Here is a 7,707-nt window from a genome sequence, read left to right as displayed (position 1 = left end):
GCAAGGGTGATGCTACTCATTTCTGAAATAGGTCCAACCTTAGAGAATATCTTTTCTTCTCTAACAATGTTGTCTTCACGATTAAGTGGTGGATTTTTAGGAGTCCAGATATCTGTGTTTAGTTCTGCTGCTTTGGCTTGATTAGACTTGATAATGTGCACACAATACACACACACACATAATGATATAACTTGCAGATATTTCATAAGCTGAGACAGAAAATAAAACAGTTTATGAGAGTCTCAGTCTATGAGGAGGCAGAGGAAGGAAAATGATCACACCAAGGAATAGCACCGAAGTGCTGTAATTTATTATGTGTTTTCGTAAACCTTAGCTCATTTGAACCTCACAGCAACCTTATGGGAATGGTAGGGCAAATATCGTCATCTCCATTTCCTTTGAAAAACTGAAAGTTCAAAGGATTGAAGTGAATTTCCCTAGGTTACAAACTTGACAAGTGGTGGAACCAAAACTAGAGCCCAGGCCTTCTCTTTCTAGATGAGAATTAGTCACTCTTCTGCTATCAATCATCAGTTAGTTATAAGGCATTTAACCTTCCATGCCAAGGATTACTTTTTTTTTAATGGCATATTCTATCTTCCCACTTAAAACCCCTGAGGGTAGAACTATGTCACAATCATATTTGATTCCCTATAGCTAAGTACAGTTTCTGTCGCAGGATTGAACCTCAATGATACTTAATAACAGTAATATTATTTTGATAGATAAAAATAACATTTTTAAGAAATAGTACCTGCATATAGCAAGTTGGCTTTCCCGGGATATTTACTCGTTCCCTGGTTGCATTACCCAAGCGAGGATGAAAAGTTTATTTCTTAATGAATGTCCCATCAACTTAGTCTAAGCAAAAATTCTATGAGAGAGATTTGTTTACTCTAAGGAAATCATTTTAACTCTTTCAGAAAGTGCCTTCTTCTGGTGTCCCTAAAAGATCTCTAATTTACCAAGTGAATTAAAAAATGTATTTTCTCTTAAACTCTAAGATTAGAAACATTACTTTATCCCCCAGCTTTTTTCTCAACCCTGTTGAAACAGCTTTCTCTGTTGCCATTCAGGGGTTGGTTTCAGCCAGAAAGTTACTTCTCATTTTTAGAATGCAGGGCACGTTTAAATAAGGATCGTTATCATTAATATTTATGAAGTGCTCAAAATGTGCCATGATTTTTATCCATTATCTCATTTAACTCTTAAATAATTTAACTCAATTAAGATGTTATTATCTCACAGGATCCCTTTGGCATAGGGAATATTATTATTCTTATAATATAGTTAAGGAGACTGAGTCTTCAAGGCACCATGTGGCTTTCCCAAGGTCACATAGCTAGAAAGTAGCAGAGTGAGATTTGATCCTAAGTCTCTCTGAATTTGAGACTTAACAACTACACCATAAAGTTTCACTCACTATAGATGGTGGCAGATGAACCTCATCATCAGTGAGGTCATCAGTGGAAGACAGTCCCCGTTTCCTTTTGAATACCTGAAGGATCAAGCTATGGACTGAGATGACAAAAGGCCTAACTCATCCACTTGCTCATCCATACACCCAATCTGTGATTATGGAAATGCTTTTAACGTCAACATTTTCTGTTTATAGTATGTACAATTAGATTAAAGTTGAGTGTTTGGCAATTTATGCTCAGTGTGAACAACAAATCCAAATGCACTAGGCTAAGAAGCAGAATCACATTCGCACAATAAAATGTAAACAAGAAACACAAGAGAGTCAGAGAGTCATATTCAGAGAGGGTGGGCTTGTTATTGTTTTTTGTTTTTTATTTAGAACCTGCTGATTAAAAAAAAGACCCAGATGCACAGGATCTCTGACTAAACAATTGCTGTGTGGTAGCGGGAGGTCTGGGTGGCTCATTCATCACAGCACGGAAGGCACCCTCTCAAGAACATGTAAACGGGATGAAGAGCTCTCCCGGAATGTTACAGCAAACATGTGCCAGCCCTCTTTGTTCTCTGTCTAGGGTCATTTCACTTGTAATGATTCATCTTAATCTTTCAGGTTCTGGAAAGCATAGGATACATCAGGCAGGAGGTACCCCATTTCTAAGCCTAGAGCGGAGAAGAAATCCTTTCTGGATGACCACACCATGGGGTTGAAAAAGCAGAGCAGAGTCCACAGTTCTGCGTAGATTATTTATTCAAAAAATCCCCAATAACTAACAGAGCAGAAACTGGATTTAGGAATCTAAATTAAAACTTATTTTGATGACCTTTGAGAAAGATACTTCAAAACAAAGATTTATTGCAAGTGTTAGCTTCTTTGCTCCTTGAAATAACATTCATTACTTCAGATTAAACACTGCTTGCTATTTAGTCTTCAGTTCTACAGCCATATTTCCGGAATACGTTTTCTGTTTTTGCCACAGATTTTGGTCTGATTTTCAATGAAAAAGGAATTTAATGGGTCATGTGTCTTTAGAATTCTTCTTGTAGCTTATTCTAAGTTTCTCATATCCCGTCTCCTAGTCTGTCTGAACTATTTGCCCACCATAGTGAGTGATACATAGTTTCAAAACATCTAATCTAGATACTGCTCAATTTAAGGCAGAGATTTCCAGATAAGAAGCCATTTGGCCTCGATATAGGGATCAAGACTATGGCTTTCCTATCAGTAACATTATACCCTTCTGCAACAAGCACTAAATTTAACAAGTGACTGAGGCATTTAAAAAGAATATAATATTGCAACAAATTTATACTATATATAACCCCACAGAAAGAAGATCCATAAAATACCTAGGAAGTTATAGCACAAAGTAAACAATACACGAAAATTTTACTCAAATGTTGGTTCTGCCATTCAGCCGTTCATTCATGCATTCAGCAAGTATTTATTGAATGGCTGCTACATGCTAGCCAATATAATGGTGAACAAAACAGATATATCCCTGCAGTCACAGAAGTTACAATGTAGCAGGCAGGAGGGATACAGAGAAGTTAAACAGAAATCATAATACCTTGTAATAAATGCTATCATAATGGAGAAATTATAGTGTGCTGTTGGTACCTCAATGGAAGGACAACGCAGTGTGTGTGTGTGTGTGTGTGTGTGTGTGTGTGTGTGTGTCTGTGTGTCTGTTTGTAGGCTGGTGGTCAAAAAGGGCTTCTCATTCATGTTTATGAGTTTTAATTAGATAAATGATATAGGGGTAGTGGTGGGAAGACAAGGAACCAGCATGTACAAAGACCCAAAGATGAAAAGGAACATAACATTAACTCCGCAGTGTTTCAACAGTCTTCTAACATTTCACTCTTATTCTCTGTGACAGAAGCAGTGCCACAATCAAGGCCTTGGGTGAGACTGTGCCTGGAGTTGCCGAAAGCCTTTGCCCATAAAAGTTGCTTTTCTCTGTTAATAATTGTTCAGTGGTTTGAATCTGTCATTTATTGCACCCCCACTTAAAATGTGACCGACTTGCAGACAGGGAGCATAGCTCATTGTATTTCCCACAACCCAGCATAGCATTCTATATACATTGGAAGCTTAAGAAACGTTAGTGCTAAACAAATAGATAAATGGTAAAAAATGGTCAGCAACCAAACTGGAACTCCCGGAATTTTCAAGGGAGTAGCAATGTTTATCCAACAAGTTTTTCAGCTAATGTTACTTAAGTTTCAACTTTAAGAGCTTAGTCACAAAGATTCTCATTAGGTAATACCTTGGCAATTCAAATAATCACTGCCCCTCTGACTTGAGCTAGTTGACTTGGTTAAGGCCAAAATCTGAAGCTTCAAGTCCCATGGAAGGTTAGTTACCTTCAAGGAGAGAAAGAAGATCTGTTCATAGTCCTGCCCATCAGTCTGACCCTGAACTCTGGTGGGGCTAAGGGAAATAGCATTGCATAGTCTGTAGCCCATACGATGGGCTAGGCACTTACCTAGGGATGTTGATATGAAGATAAATAAGCAGTTCCTGCCCCCTAAGGAGGCTCTGGCACACAGTAGCTTCTCAAGAAATGCTTCTTGAGAAACTGAGTGAATACAGCCTCACATATTTAGGCAAATCACTTATAAAATATATTACAGTTTTGTTTTTATATGTGGGACTCCTTCCTGGACTATAGAAATGTTTGTATCCTATGGATTCTTTGTAGTCTCTGCAAAAAGCTAATTCCTCCTCTGAGGTTAAAGGAATCCTTACCATTGTTTTTGAAGACAGTAAGAGCTGCAGTAGCTGAAGCAGTAGCACTGAAGTGGGGATTTTCAGCTACTGAAGGGGCCTCAGTCCCACTCAATGGATACTGCAGCATAAGCCTCTGTTCCAATATTACCCTACCCTGGGAACAGCTGTTGGAACAAAAGAATTGCTCTGAGAGTCAGCGTGAGCAGTATCCCTAAATAAGTGTAGTCATCCTTTATAAGTAGCAGGTCTCCACTCCTGCCCTTAAATTGTCCAACTCCAATGCTAATAGTCACTAAGGAGAGTGCAGCACAGGCCCTGAAAGGAGCCACCAAGGACATTATTTCATGATGCAGAGGACAAATGTATGCTTTCTCCAAAACCTGGAAAATCAAGTTTATGTATGTCATGTTTATTCAAACACACTTGAAATAAGGTCTCCCTCTCCTCTGGCAAGGACACTTTCAGATCTGAGGGAGTGAAGTTCTTTTACCCACCCCAACAATACTGGTCAGAACTCTGACTTTTGAGTTCCTTGAGTCATGAGCAGGCTGTTCACTTCCAGGGCACTTTCCTCAGGCTTCTTTGGCATGAATTGAGGTCAGGTTACAGCTGTCTCCTGGGTGATAAAAGCTGCTTGGCTTCTCACACTTTTGGATGAATCATTGGAGTTTCCCAGAGAAATGCAGAGGGTACTGCCACCCCTCAGTGAGTGTTAACCTCCCACAGTGATGGAGCAGTGAAACATCAGCCAAATGGTGATGCAATAACAGGCTCAAGATGAAGCTTTTATTATGGTCTGTACAACTCATGTTGATTTGAGAAGGAAAGAAAACAATATAAACAGCAAATCCCACGACTGAGTTTCACTGTCACAAATATGTTCTTCATCAAATCCCAACCTCCTTCATTCTTTTCTTCTCTAATTCTCAACTCCCCAAGATACCTGGAAATATTTTCTGCCTGATTTCTCTAATTTGTTCACTTGACCTTCCATCATTCACTCAGCAAGTATATAATGAGCCCCTGTCATGTAACAGGCACTGGGAATCAATTCCAGTTTTTCTGCCTATTACTAGTTACATTTTTTTTTACCAATTATATTTTTTAAGTATGGAGTCGTAAGTACAATAATAAAGTATCAACAAAGCAAAAGGTCAGGGAGTGAAGAGCATACATCAAGAACTGTGTTAGAGCAGTAACTGATAATTTCCTAAAAGTAAAATATGAGAGTTGAGTTTTTCAGGACATAAAGGGATTTCTGGGCAAATAAGGGCAGTGAGAAGAGTGAAAGGTAAGAGATAGAATTCTAGGGAAAGTAAAAATAGCAGCAGCTCCCAACACTTGTTGATGGTTTAGCCACTAATGGGTTTATATTGTGCTCAGCACTGATCTAAGCTTTTTACCTGTGTTAATTTTTTTTTTCTTTTGAGACAGAGTTTCCCTCTTGTTGCCCAGGCTGGGGTGCAATGACGTGATCTCGGCCCACTGCAACCTCTGCCTTCTGGTTCAAGTGATTCTCCTGCCTCAACCTCCCAAGTAGCTGGAATTACAGGTGCCCACTATCATGCCCGGCTAATTTTTCATATTTTTAGCAGAAACGGGGTTTCACCATGTTGGCCAGGCTGGTCTCAAACTCCTGACCTCAGGTGATCCACCCGCTTTGGCCCCCCAAAGTGCTGGGATTACAGGCTTGATCCACTGCACCCTGCCTGTGTTAATTTTTTAAATCCATACAAGATCAACATGAGGTAGTCTCTACTATTATTTCCACTGTGGCAACTGATACACAGAGAGACTAAGTAAGTTGGCCAAAGTCATATAGCTAGAAAGTGGCAAAACCACAATAAGATCCAGAGCTCTTAACCACTATAGGATACAAGTACAGAAAGATATATGCAAAGGTCCAGGGATGAAAGGCGAACAGAGCTTTCTGGGGAAAAAATGGGAGTGGATATGAACGAGACCAAATAGTCATGGGAGAGCAGCAGACGTAAATGATAATGAAGAGCTAATAGGCCAGATTATGAAGAACCCGTGTACCCTACTAAAGTTTGCACTTAATTCTGAGGGCAGTTGGGAACTATGAGCAGCTTTATAACCAAGATCAGGCCCATGTTTTAGGAAGATAACTCACAGAAGTGTAGAGAATGGCTTTGAGAGGGCCAATGGTCAGGAGATCAGTTAAGACAGTAATGTTAACTATATACATGAGAAATGATAAAGGGTCTCTCTCAGTCTATTTTGTGCTGCTATGAGAGAATACCTGAGACTGGATAATTTATAAAGTATAAAAATTTACTTCTTACAGTTTTGGAGACTGAGAAGTCCAAGATCAAGTGGTCAGCATCTGGTGAGTGCCTTCTTGCTACATCATCCCATGGCAGAAGGGCAAATAGGGATGAGAGAGAGGGAGCAGGAGGGGGCTGAACTCATCCTTTTATAAGGAATCCATTCCTGTAATAATGGTATTAATCCACTGATAAGGACAGAGCCCTCATGGCCTAATTACCTCTTAAAGGTCCCACCTCTTAATACTGTTACAATGGTGGTTATGTTTGTAACATATACTTTTGGGGGGGGTCACACTCAAGCCATAGCAAAGCACAACTAAGGAAGCAGGACCAGGGCTGAGAGAAAGGGAGACTACAGGATCTGTTTAGATAGTAGAATTTATAGAACTGAAAGGGAAGCTGACTGGAGGTGAAAGTTGATTCAATAAGAGTAGAAGAATCACTTGAGCTCAGGAGTTTGGGACCAGCCTGGGCAAAATAGCAAGGTTGAGGCAGGTGGATCACTTGAGCTCAGGAGTTTGAGATGAGCATGGGCAACATGGCAAAACCCTGTCTCTACTAAAAGTACCAAAAATTAGCCAGGCTTGGTGGCACGCATCTGTAGTCCCAGCTACTTGGGGGACTGAGGCAGGAGAATCCCTTGAGCCCACAGGGTGGCTGCAGTGAGCTCTGATTGCACTACTGCACTCCAGCCTTGGCGACAGAGTGAAACCCTGTCTCAAAATAAATAAAAGAAGAATGACTTCCAGGTTTAGGATCAGGTATTTAGCCATGCCATTAACCAGAATGACGAAGGTTAGAGAAGGACCTGGGATAAGAGAAAGACAGTTTGTTCAGCTTGAAAATATTGCATTTGAGATGCCTGTTCCAGTTATCCATTGTTGCATAATATACTACCCCAAAATTTAGTAGCTTGGAAGAATAATTCATGATTATTTTTCATGGTTCTGTGAGTGGACCAAGGTCAGCTGGACATTCTTACTTGGGGTCTCTCATGTAGTTTCTGTCAGGCGTCAGCTAGGCTACAGTCATCTGAAGACTCAAGTGGGCTGGTTATCTAGGATAGTTCACTCACATAGGTGGCAGTTGATGATGGCTATTGGATAAAAGCTCTGCTGGGCTTGTCCACCTGCACGTGGCCTCTCCAAGTGGCTTGAGCTTCTCGCAGCAGGATAGCTGGATTGCAAGAGACAGTATCCCAACAACTCACATTTCAAGAGACCTGGGCAGAGGCTATAAGGCTTCTAGTGACCTAGCCTT

At 40.3% G+C, this 7,707-nt stretch overlaps 1 annotated feature.

Moving 5' to 3' along the window:
* Positions 4,170-4,468: a silencer, noted in NCBI's record as "fragment chr1:101088137-101088435 (GRCh37/hg19 assembly coordinates)". NCBI's record gives its function as "represses an EF-1alpha promoter that drives an FKBP-Casp9 reporter gene in an ReSE screen in phorbol 12-myristate 13-acetate-treated (for megakaryocytic differentiation) K562 erythroleukemia cells {active_cell/tissue: K562(+PMA)}" and the evidence as "EXISTENCE:reporter gene assay evidence [ECO:0000049][PMID:32094911]".

Source organism: Homo sapiens, chromosome 1, assembly GCF_000001405.40.
Source record: "Homo sapiens chromosome 1, GRCh38.p14 Primary Assembly".
NCBI lineage: Eukaryota > Metazoa > Chordata > Mammalia > Primates > Hominidae > Homo > Homo sapiens.
Note: the sequence above shows the minus strand (reverse complement) of the source record. Positions and strands in the feature narration are given on the sequence as shown.